Genomic DNA, 17135 nt, shown 5'->3' with positions numbered 1-17135 from the left:
ACTTATGCACAAAACTCACACACACACACACGTATATACTTTTGAATCTTTTTTTTTTAGACATTGCTGTATAGTCTTTGGATTCACCATTAAAAAAGTCATGTCACAAGTAAGAGTATCTGTAAGATATATTAAATGTTAAAAGCAAACTACAGTACAGTTTGTATAGTAATCTATTTGTGTAATCTATTTACCTTTGTGGAGAGGGGTGGTAAGGATAAAGAAAATTGTGTGTGTATATATTTCTAGTTGCATAAAGTATCTCTGGAAGGATATATAAGAACATTACAAAAATCAGTTGCCTCAGGAGAAGGGAACTAGGTAACCAGGGAGCAAGCAAAAGGCTGAGGATTGTCACTGTGTAACCTTATTATATATCTTTTGATTTTCAAACCATGTGAATATATTGCCATTAAAAAAATGGAGGCTGGGGCCAGGTGTGGTGGCTTACACCTGTAATCCCAGCACTTTGGGAGGCCAAGGCAGGTGGATCACGCGGTCAGGAGATCGAGACCATCCTGGCTAACACGGTAAAACCCTGTCTCTACTAAAAATACAAAAAATTAGCCAGGCGTGGTGGCATGCGCCTGTAGTCCCAGCTACTCCGGAGGCTGAGGCAGGAGAATTGCTTGAACCTGGGAGGTGAAGGTTGCAGTGAGCTGTGATCATGCCACTGCTCTCAAGCCTGGGTGACAGAGTGAGACTCCATCTCAAATAAAAAAAAAAAAAGAAAAAAAAGAAAAAAAGTGGCGGCTGGGCACAGTGGCTCATGCCTGTAATCCCAGCACTTTGGAAGGCTAAGGCAAGAAGACTGCTTGAATCCAAGAATTCGAGACCAGCCTGGGCAACAGAGTGAGACTTCATCTCTACAAATAATACAAATAAAACATAAAAAATAAATTAGCTGGGTGTGGTGGCACATGCCTGTAGTCCCAGCTACTCAGCTACTCAGGAGGCTGAGGTGGGAGGATCGCTTGAGCTCAGGAAGTCAAGGCTGCAGTGAGCTGTGATTGTGCCACTGCACCCTAGTCTGGGTGACAGAGTGAGACCCTGTCTCACCACCACCACGAAAAAATGAAGGAAGGAAGGAAGGAAGGAAAGAGAGAGAGAAAGAAAAATGGAAAGTAAAAAGAAAAGGTCGCATCCAAGCCTGTTTCCCAGGGTTTTCTCAACTGGTTAGTCATGAAGGCTTTTGAGGTGGGCACTGTGTGAGGCTGACCCTGCCTGTGGAGGAGAGTAGGGCGGACCTCTAGACCCAATGGGCTTGAAGCCAAGGCAGCGGCTGGGAAGGTGGGCAGGGGGACAGAGCGCCATGGCAGGGGTAGAATTCATAAGATAGCTGATGAGTTCTTCACTTGACAATTTTAAAGAGTGTTAGGCTTTGTTAGGCAAGGAGTATCTTTAAAGTAACGGCAGTTTCAAAAGAAATGAGAATTCATCCACACACCAATATCTCCTTCTCCTTCTCTTTCTTTACTTAGAAATGTCTGACGCAGGTGTTATTCTGGCAGCCTAGTTTGCTGGGTCTTTAAATGTAATAACATTTCACTTCATCATCTCCCTTTATCAACTGATTTCCATAAAAAGCTTTCAAATTATTAAGTAATGAAGCTCCAAGTGACCCGAATGGGGGAGAAGTAAGTGTGCTTTAAGGTGTTCAGCACATTAGTATCAAATAAGGATCCTGGGAATGCTGCTTTCTTAAATGCGGCTATTTAAATGCAAAGTAACAGCTCTCCTAAGCTGTGAAAGGTTAACCCTTTTCATTCTCGAGTACCCCACATATTTGAGGTTTGGGGAGAGACTTGGGAGATGACAGGAGAAATTTTGTGTTGTGGCAGACACTAAAGGGTGTCCGTTCTAGGAATTTGAGAACACACACACACACACACACACACACACACACACACACGGACACACAGACAGACAGACAGACACACACACACAGGCTGGCCTCTCTTCCAGGTTTCCCATGGTAACAGAAGTTTCTCTGACTGTGAAAACGCTCTTTTAGTTATTTTCGTGGCTCACGGAGCAGGAATTGAAGAGCGGTATGGTGGAATAGGCAGACCGAGGGTTCAGCTCTTGGCTTGGTCACTTATATGCTGCGCAAGTTTGGGGAAAGTGCTGTCCTCTCTGAACCTGACTCTTTGTCTGTAAAACACATGTTAATGAGCTCCTTTCTGGGTCGGACACTGTGCTGGGCTCCCGTCACAGGGCAGTAGACCAGACAGACTGCCCTTGTGGAGCTTGTTCCCTACTGGGTTAATCACAGTGCATGGAGGTTAAATGAGACGGTATCAGTCAGGGCCAGGTGAATAGTAATGAAGGGGGTGCCTCTGATGACTTAATCATACTGGCAGGCTCTCCACTCCGCTTCTGTCAGTGCGACCTCTCACTACTGCCTGACCCACCTTTTGACCAAATCTCCTACATCACCTGTCATGCCCACGCACCAAAGGCTCATGCTTTTGCATTGGATCCTTCTGTCTGGAATGCTCCTGCCCTTGTCCCCTCAAGCCACTCCTCTTCTGAAAAGGCTTACTGATGACCCAAGACTCTCAGATCCTCTTTGTCCATGATTATTTGTTCACTCGTATAAAGGTATCTTCCCCACCAGGTGTCTAGCAAAGTACCCACGTCATAGTATGTGCCTGATCAAATATGTTGAATGAATGTTCAATCAAGTTTTTATTCCCAAATATTACATGTGAATTGTGAGAGGATCTGTCCATCATGATTACTGCCACCCAAAGAAGTATTCGTAAAACTTTGTGATTGTCACACCACGGAGATATCACAGGTATATGCAGCAATTCCCAGCAGAGGTAACTGGGGTGGAAGCTTCCTAACCTTCCTCTTTCTTGGAGTAGGTTCTGAAGACCTCTAGGGGCCTGTAAATATGTTGTTAGAGTCTTCTTAGTTCTCTGTGGGAATTTAAACATTTATATTTATATTTTTGTGAGAATAAAATAATAGATTGTGTACATATTAAGGATCATCTCAAAGATCTAGTCAAGCATCACCAGGCAGTTCAGTGGCTGGGATGCATTTGTTTTCACATCTCACGGTTGCCCTATACAACTTTATTGTGCGTTAGTGTGGAAGACAATGTGACGCTCTGTCCAGATCTCTCTTCAGGAGTGAAGGACTTACTTCCCAGCTGCAGGGATGATGGTAAAAGGTTGCTCTTAGCTGTCAGTTCTTTGGCATTGGCTAGATAACACAGCCTAATGTGAGGTCAAACTTCCTTCCAGGGTGACCCTCATCCAGTGATCCTCCAGGGGCACAAAGGTCAGTGCTCTTGTCCCCAAGGCAGGACAACTCTGAAGAGCCACCCAGCCCAGTGAGTTGGTTGGTAGAGGTCTTTGTTGGGCCTGCGACACAGCTCAACTTCTCCCTCTGCACATCCTGCTTCCTTCCCCTGCCTCCCACAGCTGTGGTTCCCAAGAACATTCTTTGGTAACTTCCTGCACTCTAATCTTGATGCAGGTCTCCTTCCCAGAGAACCCAGCTGCTAAAGAGAGTGGGTTCTAAAAGGAAAGCAGAGTTAACAAATCAAAGACATTTTGACTAGGTAAAGCCCAAAGGATACGTGTGCTGCTGCCTGAACAATGTGTTGTCAGTGGTTGGAAGAACAGTGGGAGAACTGAGTTAGCCCAAAGGGCCCTGGTGTATGCATACCAAACTCGGAAGGACCCAGGCTACGAGGGTCAGCATTGCATCGAGATTGTGAGCAGTCATTTAATTTCAGCAAAACAGCATCACCCATCACATTAAAGCAATGTTCTTAATTAGCATTTAAAGTGTTTGCAGTTTTATTTGTGTTATTATTAGTATCACTATTTTGTTTTTATCATCTTAAGAGAGCTATAAGCATAAGGAGTTCATATCTGGTTATCTTTGCACATATTTAAATAATATGATAATGAAAATCCTTATAACTCAACCTTGGGTGTTTGTGAGCTTGTATTTGCCCTTTAAAAGAGATCTATACATTACGCAGGTTTGGGAATTATTTAATTTTGCAAAAGCATGGTATTAAGAGGCTGGGTTTTGGAGGGTCTGTGGCTTAACTGTGTAACCCTGGGAATGTTACTTAACTCTTTGAGCCTTGATTTTCTCATTGGTAAAATGGGGATAATAATCTACCTTACAGGCCTGTTCCAAGGTACAAATGAGCTGTAAATAAATGTAGAATGATTTCAAAGTTTCTGACACATATTAAGTGCTCAATAAATGGCAGTAGTTAGGAGAGGCCGAACAATAAAGAATGCACCTCTCTGTAAGCCCTTTCCAAGCCTGGCCTGGAAAAAGTCAGTGGTCTGCATCCATCCCTGACAGAGAGCAGGAGGAGGGGTTTTGGGTGAGTTATTTTCAATAGAAAGTCAGAGTTAAATTTGCTTAAAAGCCAGCCAGCAAGCAAGCAAACAAATACTAAGGCCTCAAGGCACACAAAAGTGAAAGGTTAAAATAGAAAACTGTGAAGAGCTATGGCCTAAATTTAAATTCAGGGAATCTTACATTTAGGGACCACTTAATAAATGAAATAAAGCTGGGTGTAGTGGCTTGTGCCTGAAGTCCCTGCTATTTGGGAGGCTGAGTAGATGGATCACTTGAGGCCAGGAGATTGAGACCAGCCTGGGCAACATAGTGACACTGCGTCTCTACAAAAATAACTAAATAATAACTAAATAAATGAATGAAACGAATATTGCCATGGTAAGCTGAGTAACGGCCCCCCAAAATATCTACATCCTGATCCCTGGATCCTGTGAATGCTTCATTATATGTCCACAAAGGCCTTGCAGATATTGTTAATGATCTTGAGATGGGGAGATTGTCCTGGATTATCAGGGTAGGCCCTAAATATAAGTGTCTTTACAAGACAGAGGCACAGGGAGATTTGACTAAAGGAGAGGGGAAGGTACTGTGATAATGGAAGCAGAGATTGGAATGATGTGGCCACAAGCCAAGGAAGACTGGCAGCCACTGACTGTGCAATGGAGCCTCCCGAAGGAACCAGCGCTGCTTGTATCTTGACTTCAGCCCTGTAAGACTCATTTTGGACTTCTAACCTCCAGAACTGTAAGAGAACCAATTTGTGTTACCCCAAGGCACCAGATTTGTGGGTAATTTGTTACAACAGCAACAGGAATGGATATAATTCCTATGGGCCCTGCTTGCCTTTTTGATTAGTGAGTCTAATGAAAATAAAAGGCAGACAGTCCCTGACTTAAGATAGTTTGGCTTAACAATTTTTTGACTTTATGATGATGTGAAAGCTATATGCATTCAGTAAAAATTGTACGTCGAATTTTGACCTTTTCTGAGGCTAGCAATTTGTGATATGATACTCTTGTGGTGCTGGACAGCAACAGTGAACCACAGCTCCCAGTCAACCACTCGATCACAAGGGTAAACAACCGATACTGTACAGTGTACTGTGTTGCCAGCATTTTTTGGATATTGTATTTTGTGTTTTCACATCCCATTATGTTTTAAAAAATGTCAGTTTTCCACTTAGGATATTTTCAGCTTCCAGTGGGTTCACTGGGAAGTAACCCCATGGTGGGTAAAGAGGCATCTGTAACTAAAACCTGTCATTAGAAGGGAGCAGTGTAAAGGGCATTCCTATTCAAGTCCGAAGAGCTTGATCTGAATCCTCTCTCTCTACTTCCTAGCTGTGTGATCTCAGGCCAGTCAGTAAGCTTCTATGAGCCTTACCTTCTTCATCTCTAAAATGGACTAAAGTGAACTCAAACACTTAGAGTTGTAAAGATTAAATGTTAGAACACTTTATGAACCATACAACTATGTGCACTATTTATCATTACTGGTATTACAAATTTTTAAAAATCCAAATTGAAGATTGTAATCAAAATGCCACCTTTTAGGAAGATGGCCCGATGATGCATACAATGTCTAAGACATTATATAGACAAACATTTGATTTAGGCCCAGCAAGAAAGTGCTTTAGAACATGGTGCTGAAAAATCTCAGCTGTTAGACCCCTGTCTGCAGTTCTCTTAAACATCACGTACTTAAACCAGAGCTTCCTTTCAACTCCTTACTTTTGCAACCCTGTAGACGTATGGTGATATTATTGTCACTTGGACTTCTCTCTGATAAGATATTTTATTTTCTTTAAAAAGAGAGTATCAATAATCCGATCTTCTCTAACTATTGGGCAATTTTGCTGTACTTGAGGTTTCCTGAAATATAAATGATGGAAATAATCCATGCCTGAAGCTGTAACAATAAAAACGACGATTATTTTTCAAACTCAAGACTATTCACGTCTTCAGTCTATCTTCATTGGCACAGCACAATCTCCAAAGCAAAAGGAAGAAAATAAATAGCTTAGAAGTTTGAAGTTGGATCCTATCAACAACCTCCCCTCCCATTTCTAATTCAATCAAGCATTTCCTTACTCAGGCAGTAAGGAGAGAGGATGCTGTTTGGATCGAAACTATGTATAGTTTTGTTTTTTTAAAAAAACATTTTTATAATAAATTTTTCCGTATACAAAATATGTTCTTTGTAGAACACTTAGAAAATAGACACAGGCAAAAGGAATAATATAAAAACAATTCATAATCCCACTACCCACAGATAACCATTGTTACTTTTTACATTGTAAGCCAGAAAAAAAGACATGCTGGTATGCCCGAGTGTGACATTTATGGACTCAACGAAGCAGCTTAATTCTAATGATAATACCCTGGATTCTATATTCCTCCATGCAGCTGGGCCCTGCTGTGAGTGAGCAGACCTGGCTTAGGAAAATTCACATCCATAGCCTGAGAAATCATAAAGGAATGGCGCCCTCAGCCACACCCTGGAGAGGCTTCCGTCACTCCATCCGTGCCATGTCTATTGCCTTCACTGTCTTTACATTAGTGCAAGAGCCTCCAAAATCAGTTCCTGCCTCCCGTTTTACTCCCTGCACCCAGTCCATCAGACAGAACTTTCTAAAACAGACACTTGATCAGGCTACTCCACTCTTGAAATTCTTCCTTTGGCTTTAGGGGTAAAGCCCAATTTTGTTCAGCATGGAGCCCAAGGGCTCACCCTTTGGCCCCACCTACTTCTCCGGCCTCATATCTCCCTCAGTCTTTCACCCTTATGTGTATCCTTTATGCCAGCCACCACCATCCTCATCTTCATCCTCATCACCAAGCTGTCAAGTACTGGGTATGGCCTCTATGCTAGATATGAGAGTGCTACATGCATTATCTCATCTGCATACTAACAGTCCTTTAAGGTGGGGTTTCCTGCTGAGGAAACTGCAGCTTAGAGAAGCTAAATTCAGTCCCATTCATGCAGCTAATAAGCAAAGGAACCAGCCTCTGAACCCAGGGTCCTCCATATCAAAGATATTCTACTTGCAGTTTCCCGAACCACATAGCTTTTGTTTTTTTTAAGCTTCTTTGCATAAACTACCATCTCCCTTTTAATCCTTTTAACCCTTTCTCACCTAGGTAATGCCTACTTGTCCTTGAGAATGCAGTTCAAGGCTTTCCTGACCGCTTGGTTTAGCTTAGCCACCCTTCCTCTGTGCTTCCAAGGTACCCTACGTTGCACCCTGTCATGGGATCTGCCTCAGGGACTGCTGTTACCCCCTTACATATCATGTATCCATTTCCTCCACTCTCCGTGCTTCAAGGGGAGGAACTGTGTGCTCTTCATCTCCTCTCTCTATCCCTCTTCCCCACTGTCTAGTACAGGATTTGGCACAAGGGAGGTATTAAATAAATGTTTGTTTAATAAATGAATGAATCAGCAGCAGCTCCTAGAGTCTTCAAATAGTCTTCAACTGATCAAAATTTGATTTGCTTATAACATTCCTGCCAGAAATGGCTCAGAGAAATAAGGAAAATGAAAGCCAGAAAGAATTCTCCACCAGATCTCTTGCCAGACTGGAGCCAGATAAAAGAGCCCGTCATCAGTAACTAACTGCAGGTCCTCAGTGGTGCAGAAGGGACCTGGACCCCCCAGTGTTTTCTTGTTACATTTAATTCTTGTCACTTGGCTATTTTGTGACCCAGATAAGACCCAGTGGCAGGGCACCTAGCTTTGGAAATTCTTGAGAGGCAAAGAACAGAAGGTAGGAGGGAGAAAACTATGTCCAGGGTCTCTCATGGATTGAAGGGGAGGGCGTGAGGGTGGGAGGTAGAAGGGTGGAGACAGGATTCGGAGTGGTGAGGGGGTATGCCCCAGTTTTCACACTCACAAAAGCCTCAGATAAAGAGTCTGGCATTTTCTCCAGAGTCACAGAGATACACCGACAGAACCGAATGACATTCATCTTACGGCTTTCCACATGTCCTGCTACCAATTGACCCCATTTATGGTGAAGTATAAATGAATATTTTTATAATTCTTATAAATAATCTTGAGATTAATACAATTTTATTGCATCGTATTTTGGTGTTAAAGCGTTACCCCAATTTTGCCAATCTTGCAGTAGCACTTTTTCCACTATTTATTTATTTATGAGACAGGGTCTTACTCTATCGCCCAGGCTGGAGTGCAGTGGTGTAATCTTGGCTCACTGCAACCTCCGCCTTCTGGGTTTAAGCAATTCTCCTACTTCAGCCTCCTAAGTAGCTGGGATCACAGGCATGTGCCACCACACTGGCTAATTTTTGTATTTTTAGTAGAGAAGGGGTTTCACCATGTTGGGCAGGCTGGTCTCGAACTCCTAACCTCAAGTGATCCACCCGCCTCAGCCTCCCAAAGTGCTGGGATTATAGGCATGAGCCACCATGCTCGGCCCACTTTTCCACTTTTTAATATGCCAGAGCTTTTTAAAAAATGGAGACAACCTTACTTCTGAGAGGCTCTGGCTGTGCTGTAGGATCTGAGAGAGACCCCTCTGTTTCTTGGGTGTAGTTTGTTTGATCTTTGGGAATCAGTAAAGGATGGGTGGGACAGTGATGTGCTGGAGCTGACTTCTGTCTAAGGAATGTTAATTACATGCATCTTTTCCCACCTCTACGTTCAGTGGCATCACATTGGTAGCTGGAAATTGGCCCTGGTGAGAGTATTTACACCATGGAAACTGGCAAACATTATAAATCAGGGCTTAATTTTTTTTCTTTCTGAGAGCCTATTGTTAAATGTTTACTAGCATGTTACTGGTGGTGGGAAAGGAGAGGGCAACCTTAAGCTGGAAGCTGGAGGTATTTTTCCGACCTGATGATGGTATACATACAGATGAGGGAGGATTCAAGTCACTCAATTGGTATCAAGATTTAGGAACATCCAGGTTCATGGGCAGTGGCTATATGTCAGTGCTCCCCAAACTAGCTGTGCTTCAGAATCAGCTAGAGGCTTTCTAAGTCTACTCATGTTCAGATCCCACCTCAGCGCTACTGAATTGGGATCTCTGGGTGGGGCACAGAAATCTATAGTTTTAAATATGTTCTCAAGGTCACTGGTCACTGGAACAGTATATGGAATCTTTGCCGTATGTCTCAAAATATCAAGACAGCTCAAGAAGATGTTAAAGTGCATCCTATGAGGATATGGATTTCCTAATCAGGTCCCCTGTCATGTGACGCCTCTGTCACCTGTCACAACTTGATGAAACCTGGCTTATGTCACAACTTGATGAGACCTGGTTAATGGAGGTAGAGGTGCAGGGACAAAACAAGGAAGAGATTATGAAATGTTATAATGGGAAAAAGCATGGTCTGAAAATTTTTTTTGTACTTACACAAAGCTTTGTCAGAAATACTCTTTGAAATGGGCTTAGGCCATTGTATCACCTGTCATTGAGTTCCCAAATGAGTTCATAGGATGATAAAATATCTCATGGTGCCAACATGACTCCAGTATTCACAGCAGCTGAAAGTGGTCCTAGTCCCAGGAAGAGCTACTTGGGTTGGATAAGACAGTGATCCCAGGGCCAACATCTTCACTGAGGGCTGGGAGTGACCAGAAGGCTGGTAGGTAGCAGAGACCAGGAGGACAGATGCTAGTTAATGGCTGGGCATTAGGAGGCTCACAGGATCACGGTTCTAATGAGAGGTGAGGAGGTGATGAGAATGAGGTGGAGCCTGACCTTTCCTCTTGCCCTGCATCATGTGGGGTGTGGAAGAACAAATGCCCTTCGCTTGTGAAGATGGGGGGAGCAGAGAACCCCCCATTGATAAGAAGGAGATGGAGGGAGAGCTGGGTGTGGGGCTGAGGATGAAGAAGAGATTTGGAGGACATATTAGGGCCACCTAGACATTTCCTATTACCTAAAAACGTCGGATGAGTCACTTAGAGTGGAAATCTGGCTTTCGCCGTGGCAGCTGTCTTGCTTTATATGACTGTGTATCCCATTCATCACACTGTATTATAATGTTTTAAAAATGTGTTTATGTTCTAAGTCCAAATTCCAGGTGTAGTAGAAATAGCCTAGGCCTTGAATTAAGACAGGCCTAGGTTTGAGTTCTGACTCCTTCCCTTTCTAGGCCTTGGACAAGTCATTTTACCTGTCTGAACCTCAGTTTCTTCATGTATAAAATGGGTATAACAACTCTACCTACCTTCTGAATTCTCGAGAAGAATAAAACAGATATTGTCTGAAATCTCCCATTATAATGTCTGAGATACAGCAGGTTCTCAATAAGCCTTGACCCTCTCTCCTTGACTAAGTCATCTTTGTCTCTCCATGATCTATCACCATTCATGGTTTCAGGAGGATGCACAAAATATGTTGGTTGAATAAATGAATGGGCTGGTTGAATGAATGAACGAGTAAGTGAATAAATGAATAAATTAATGAGTAGAAATGTTCAGAACGACATGCTGAGGAAACCAAATGCACTCTGTCATGCCTGAAAGGACTTCCCTTGGAATTCTTTGAGGCATTTAGCTCAGGCTGGGTCCTCTGTCCCATTTCAAGGTCAGGGCCATTCCTTTGTCCTGACCCTGGCATAATAAGCCATGAAAAGCTTGCCACTTTGTTCCTATTTTAATCCTTCTGTTCAGTTAATGGGCTATATTTTTCCTGGAAACAGTGGTGTGACCATCACCAAGATAATGGGTAATAACATTAACATTACCACCAGTATGATCCAGATATTATTCAATTAAACTAATAACTCCTAATGCAGAAGAAATTGTTTTTCTCCTAAGAATCCAATTCAGCCATCAGCTCACCCTCATATTTAAATGACAGAAATTACCTGTAAGTCATAGATCTGTAATGTGATGTTGAAATGGATTTCTAATTATATTTTATGATGCTATATTAGAGATGCTTTTAAGGTCAGAGTTTATAGCTTGTCATGTTTTCATTTTCTATTATCAGGCAATTTGAATTTCTTTTCAAATATATAATGAACAAAAATTAGAAAATTTGGGAGGAAAAACCACTTCAAAGGATTGCCCAAAACAGCCTAACAATGTCACCTTAGTAAGAATTTTTTTAAAAAAGGCTGTGATTATCAGTCAACTTTAACGCTGGTCTTCTGAAGACAGAGATAGGGAAGAAAAATCACCTTCTCACAGTTGAATTCAAGAGTTTTGTTACCTAGGATGTTTACTGAACCATGTCCGGAGTGTGGTCCTATTATTTCCTGGTCCAGATCTTGAATTTGATGGTATGTGCAGAAGGGTTCAACCAGAGGAACTGGCTCACACTACCCAAACTTTCAAGATGTAGAAGACATGCCCAACAGTGAGAAACAGGAATGCCAAGTGGACTTTATGTAAACTTATGGGCGTGGGGCAACACAGCCTCCATATGTAGGAAAGTTTTTTTTTTTTTTTTTTTTGATCCAAGTGCTCACTCTGTTGCCCAGGCTGGAGTGCAGTGGTACAATCTCGGCTCACCGCAACCTCCACCTCTTGGGCTCAAGCAATCCTCCCACCTCAGCCTCCTGAGTAGCTGGGACTTCAGATGCACACCATCACGCCCAGCTAATTTTTGTACTTTTTGTAGAGATGGGGTTTCACCATGTTGCCTGGGTTGGAGGAAAGTCTTCATGATAAGCCATAATCTTAATGGAATATTGCCTGGGAAGCACAGAGTTGAAGCAAAGGTATTTAGCTGAATGGTTTTTATGGACATCATGGAGCTATCTAAGTCAAATGCATTTACCTCCCATTATGGGAATAGATCTGGCTTGCAGATAAACACATCATGTCATCTGGTCATGCTATCTTCTTGGACTGCACAGAAGACCCCGACAAACTCCTGTCTTTCTAGAGGTCATGCAGACCACCCTCTCCTAGTTAGATCTTTCTTCAAGCAGGCTACAATATGACCCAAATAGGTGGCAGTTTTATGACAAACATTCAACTTTAGAGGATTCATACCAGTTGTGATTGGAATTTGGCCATCATCCACTTAAAATCCAGATCTCAGGGTCACTTCTGTATGTGGTTTAACTCATATCATCTGCATCGATTTTTCCCCTCAACTCTTAGAGGGTACCTGCTCTCCTCATTATGGGGGCCTTTCACCATAACCCACTACATACTGTCTACACTTTGATTTAAAGAGAGACTGAAACTAGGATAACTTTTTCCTTATAGTTTGAATTTAATTGTCAAAGTTTTCCAGCAAAGGATGAATTCCCTGCTGCTTTTCAATAAAATTGAATGTGACTGCAGCAGGTAGGAACATTGCAATGAGAAGAAATAGGAAGGCTCCATAAATTAATGTGTGAAAGAAGAAATCTATATTCATTCTGGTTCTTCTAAGTGGGTTAGATGAATGGCTGACAGCATAGGTGGCAGTGGGTGGGGGACAAAGTGGTGAGCAGGATGGCTTTCTACACCCACCTAGCATGAAAAGACATGGAAGGCAGGAATAATAAATTCAAAGAGAGCTCCAGAGCAGGGCCAAATTCTTCCTCAGCTAAGTCCGTGCTCCATTCCCATCTATCCTACTGAGTGCTTTGTTATTTTTCTGCAGCCCAGAGCAGAATTCAGTCCTTCACTGTTCAGAATTCACGAAACAGAAAGGTTATTGTATCCAAATTGTCAACAGACAGAGCTAATTTCAACCTCGCCAGCAACTGGGAAAACAAATTATGACAGAGAAAAGAAATGGATATTTGCAGTTTGCTTTTCTAGGCTGTTCCTAATGTGGGTCTGATCTGCCATGAGACTGTCACACAGCTTTCCTTGTGGCACAGAACTGATCCTATGGATGAATGAAGACATGGCTCAGATAACATTTCATGGGTCTCTAGGCAATCCCGTTGCCTACTTGTCACCATGACTAGAAATATACTGGCTGCTAGGGTATGCCTAACACCTGAATGCTCCAGGAACAAATGTCCCTCTGATTTGGGGCTGACACTTCATTCATTCACCACTCATTTATTAGGTGTCTATTAAGTGTACTGGGTGCTGGGGACACAGAAATCATTAGGATGTTGTTCCTGCCCTCAGGGAGATCATATTTTATCAGGGGGACCAATGGGAACACATAATGGCAAGTCAGGGAGATACTGACTCCAGGTGCTGGAGCTGCATTCAGGAGGAGCTATTCATTCTTTCTGGAGTGGCTGAGTTCTCACCAGGTATTTCATAAACTGCTTGACACAGACAGGATGCAGACCCGCTAGGGGAGGAAGAGAGGACTCGGGAGGGAGAAGGAGGTATGATATTTGGGTTTTCCAGGTCGCCTATCTCCTTGTAAGGAATGGTCACAGATATGACTAAGGTGGGAAAAATCTAGGGCTGTCATCAAACAAAATAGAAGAGGACATATCTATATTTGTTTCAGCACAAATTATTAGCTGTAGTGTAATATGAATATGATAATCATACATTCAATTTCTTGGACACTCAGAACAGTGGTTTGCAAACTTTAGTGTGTATCAGAATCACCAGGAGGGCTTATAAAACAGACGGCTGAGCCCTACCCCCAGGGTTTCTGATTCAGTAGGTGTAGGCTGGGGCCTGATAAAGAATTTGCAGTTCTAACAAGTCCCCAAGGGAGAACCATTGACCTAGACAGTGTCTGCCACATAGTAAGGGTTCAATAAATAGTAGTTACAAATACTATTAGGCACTGTGCTTGGCACTTCACATAAATTAGCTAACTATCCTTATAATAGCAGTATATTACAGGAATTGTTATTATTTTTATTTTATACATGAAAAAATGGAGACTCAGAGATCTCAATATTTTGCCTAAGATCACAGAGCTAATAAGTGGCACAAATTATATTTAAACACAAGTCTTTTTGAGTAAAAAAAAAAAATCCATGTTTTTTCTGACATACTGTCTTCAATAAAAGTGTTTTTTCTTTCTTTTTAATACAGAAGCTACAAGATTCAACAATAAATAAGTGAAGTCTACAGTCATAATACCCTTATTCCATTTCAAATATTTCTGCAAATATATTATTAAAATTATCCCTCAAGAGCCAGTGGAAAGGCCATTTGTTTCTTGAAGATATTTGTAAAAATATATGAGAGAGCAAGAGCTGGCTGTGCACTGAGTTCTAGAAGCCTCCTAAGCTAATAGCTATCAATCTTTTTTTTTCTTTACGTAATAGAACACATTTTGTTAAACAAAAGTATACTCAGAACTCCAATATATAAAGCAGACAGGAATAGGGCTACTTTTAGATCTAAGAAACAAATGTTGGTGCTGGCTGAAACAACCGAACTGTGAGCACTTGCAGGCAGAAACAGAGAGCTCTCCCCACGGAAGCATTAGCTCTGATACAAGCAAGACAACCATCTGATCTGCTTTGGAGTGGGATGAAAAATGGATCACTGAGTTTCTCTGAACCAGGAATAAGGCAGAAGAAAGTCCAGCAAACACCTATGACGCACGCCACCTTCTCCTAGGGAATGGCTTCACCAGTATCCTACTGAGATGGCATTGTTTGGTTAGATCAGGCTGATGCTGTTGCTATATCTGCCTCATAGTAATGCTTTTAACACAATAGTTATGCTGCTTTATATTTATGATTGCTAAACCATTTAGTCAACTATTTAGCTCATTCTTTATCAACTAATTCTTTTGTGGTCTTTGTGAAGTTCAGAGTAAATGTTATGGTTTGAATGTGTTCCCCCAAAATTCATGTGTTGGAAACTTAATTTCCAATGCAACCTTGTTGGGAGGTGGGGTCCAATAACAGGTAATTTGGGTTGTGAATGGATTAATGTTGTTATTGTAGGAGTGGGCTAGTTATTTGAAGAGTGGGTTGTTGTAGAGTAAGTTCAGCCCCTGGTGCCTCTATGTTTCATGTAATCAATCACTTCTGCCTTCTGCCTTCTGCCATGGGATGACCTTCCTCAGATACTGGCACCATGCTCTTGGTATTCCCAGCCTCCAGAACTATGAAGCTAACTGTGGTATTCTGTTATAGAAACAAAAAACAGACTAAGACAATAAGAAACCTCATTAGCTATTTCTAAGGAGTACCCTACCAAGTGAACCCAACTGATCATTTCCATTACCATCCAGTGAGAGATTCAAATAGGCAGCTACTCCTCATGGGGGGAGGCATCTGCACATTGTTTGCTTCTGTTTTGTGAATAGCCCAATACTTAAAGATCTGTTCAGAGCACCCTATGATTTACCACCCAGCCCCAGATGTGAAAACCCTTTGCAGGTACAGGGTTGATTCATAAACCACCACAGATGCCAACTTCATTGTCTAGAGTTGAATCTCCTCCAACACTACCTATTTCTTTTGTAGCATGGGGTTCAGAGGCTTCCTGTATGTGCATCTTTCCAAAGATATTAAGAGGAGAAAAAGATCCAAGTGAATTTCCAATTTTCTCCAACACTTCAAACTATACATTTGATATTCTTAACCACCTTGATGAACAATTGTCCTCAATACCCATTTTCCCTACGTTCTATTTGGCAATAACTTACAGACAGGTGTGGCCATGTGACTAACATTTAGCCAATGTGATGCAAACAGAAGGGATGTGTAGAAATTTTGGATTATCTTTTACAAGGAAGCTGTTTGTCTGCAATTCTCATTTTCCCTTTCCCACCACTTGAGAAGAAGTAGTAGACAAAGCATGCTGGATCCAGATATGGGAACTTTCTGGCAGAAATAGACCACCAGCCTGTGTTGCTCACCTCTAAACTGTGATGTACAAGGGGAAATATACTTCTATCTTAAGTCGGCATATTTTTGGTCTCTTTATTACAACAGCTTAACTTATAACCTACATGTGACCCAAAGATAACTAAATTCTTGGACACTCCTCCCATTAGGAGATGGGGGTCTATGTTATCTCCCCTTGAATGTGGGGGGCTTTGTGACTGCTTTGGCCAGTTTCTGGGCCCCGGCCTTAAGACACTGGCAGCTTCCACTTTCTGCCTTTTGTAATACTGCCTTTGAGGACCCCAAGCCATCATGTAGAAAGTCTGACTCCCTGAGACCACCATGCTGAAGAGTCATGCAGACACTTCAGTTGCCAGTCCCTGCCTTCAAGATACCCCTTGAAGTTTCCAGTCATATGAATAATACCATCTCAGACCCTTTACACCAGCCCATTTGTATTTGAATACCACAAGTAACCTGGCCAATAGCACTCTGAGAAGAAGAAATAACCCAGGTCACCTAAGGAGGCAATGTGTGGAACTACTATGCTAATACTGATCTTGTGGCCATAAAGGGAGCCACTGATGACATATTACAAATGGCAGAGTGGGCTGGGTGTGGTGCATACCTGTAGTCCCAGCTACTTGGGAGGCTGAGGTGGGAGGACTGCTTTAGCCCAAGAGTTCTTGGCTGTAGTGTGCTATAATCCTGCTTGTGAATAGCCACTCCAGCCTGAATAACATGGTGAGACTCTCATCTCTTAAAAAAACAAAAACAAAAACATAAAAAAGGCAGAGTAGAAAGATGGAAATGTCTTAGTCCCTGATGACATGAATGAGCCACTCTACTAACCTTGGAATTACCTATCTCCAAACTTTTCACTTAATGAAATAGTAAAAGTCCACAAAATTTAAAGCACTGTTGGTTAGGCTTTGTGTTACTCATGGCCTCTAAGTATTCTAACAAACACATCCCCTTCATCCTCTCTCACAGGGGGAGTTTGTTACAGGGGCAAGAGGAGTTGGCTTGAGACTGTACTCTTACTTCATTAATAAATTTGCCAGTTGAAAATGGTACAATGTTCCAGTCACTCTGGCT

The 17135-nt window shown here is 42.2% G+C and overlaps 1 protein-coding gene across 1 annotated transcript in view, besides 5 other annotated features; it reads right to left on the bottom strand.

Moving 5' to 3' along the window:
• The window catches only part of SPON1 (spondin 1), a 305411-nt gene that overhangs the window by 36270 nt on the left and 252006 nt on the right, over positions 1-17135 (bottom strand). The window lies entirely within an intron of this gene.
• Positions 744-1330: an enhancer, noted in NCBI's record as "H3K4me1 hESC enhancer chr11:14252080-14252666 (GRCh37/hg19 assembly coordinates)". NCBI's record gives its function as "activates a minimal SCP1, AML or CMV promoter by ChIP-STARR-seq in naive H9 embryonic stem cells {active_cell/tissue: H9 hESC(naive)}" and the evidence as "EXISTENCE:reporter gene assay evidence [ECO:0000049][PMID:30033119]".
• Positions 852-1070: a silencer, noted in NCBI's record as "fragment chr11:14252340-14252558 (GRCh37/hg19 assembly coordinates)". NCBI's record gives its function as "represses an EF-1alpha promoter that drives an FKBP-Casp9 reporter gene in an ReSE screen in HepG2 liver carcinoma cells {active_cell/tissue: HepG2}" and the evidence as "EXISTENCE:reporter gene assay evidence [ECO:0000049][PMID:32094911]".
• Positions 1331-1918: an enhancer, noted in NCBI's record as "NANOG-H3K4me1 hESC enhancer chr11:14251492-14252079 (GRCh37/hg19 assembly coordinates)". NCBI's record gives its function as "activates a minimal SCP1, AML or CMV promoter by ChIP-STARR-seq in naive H9 embryonic stem cells {active_cell/tissue: H9 hESC(naive)}" and the evidence as "EXISTENCE:reporter gene assay evidence [ECO:0000049][PMID:30033119]".
• Positions 1331-1921: a biological region, named in NCBI's record as "Sharpr-MPRA regulatory region 134".
• Positions 1627-1921: a silencer, noted in NCBI's record as "tiled region #134; HepG2 Repressive non-DNase unmatched - State 22:ReprW". NCBI's record gives its function as "represses a minimal TATA promoter and a strong SV40 promoter by Sharpr-MPRA in HepG2 cells {active_cell/tissue: HepG2}" and the evidence as "EXISTENCE:reporter gene assay evidence [ECO:0000049][PMID:27701403]".

The sequence above is a fragment of the Homo sapiens genome, chromosome 11 (assembly GCF_000001405.40).
Source record: "Homo sapiens chromosome 11, GRCh38.p14 Primary Assembly".
Lineage (NCBI taxonomy): Eukaryota > Metazoa > Chordata > Mammalia > Primates > Hominidae > Homo > Homo sapiens.
The sequence above is the reverse complement of the archived record's forward strand: the minus strand, read 5'-3'. Positions and strand labels throughout refer to the sequence as shown.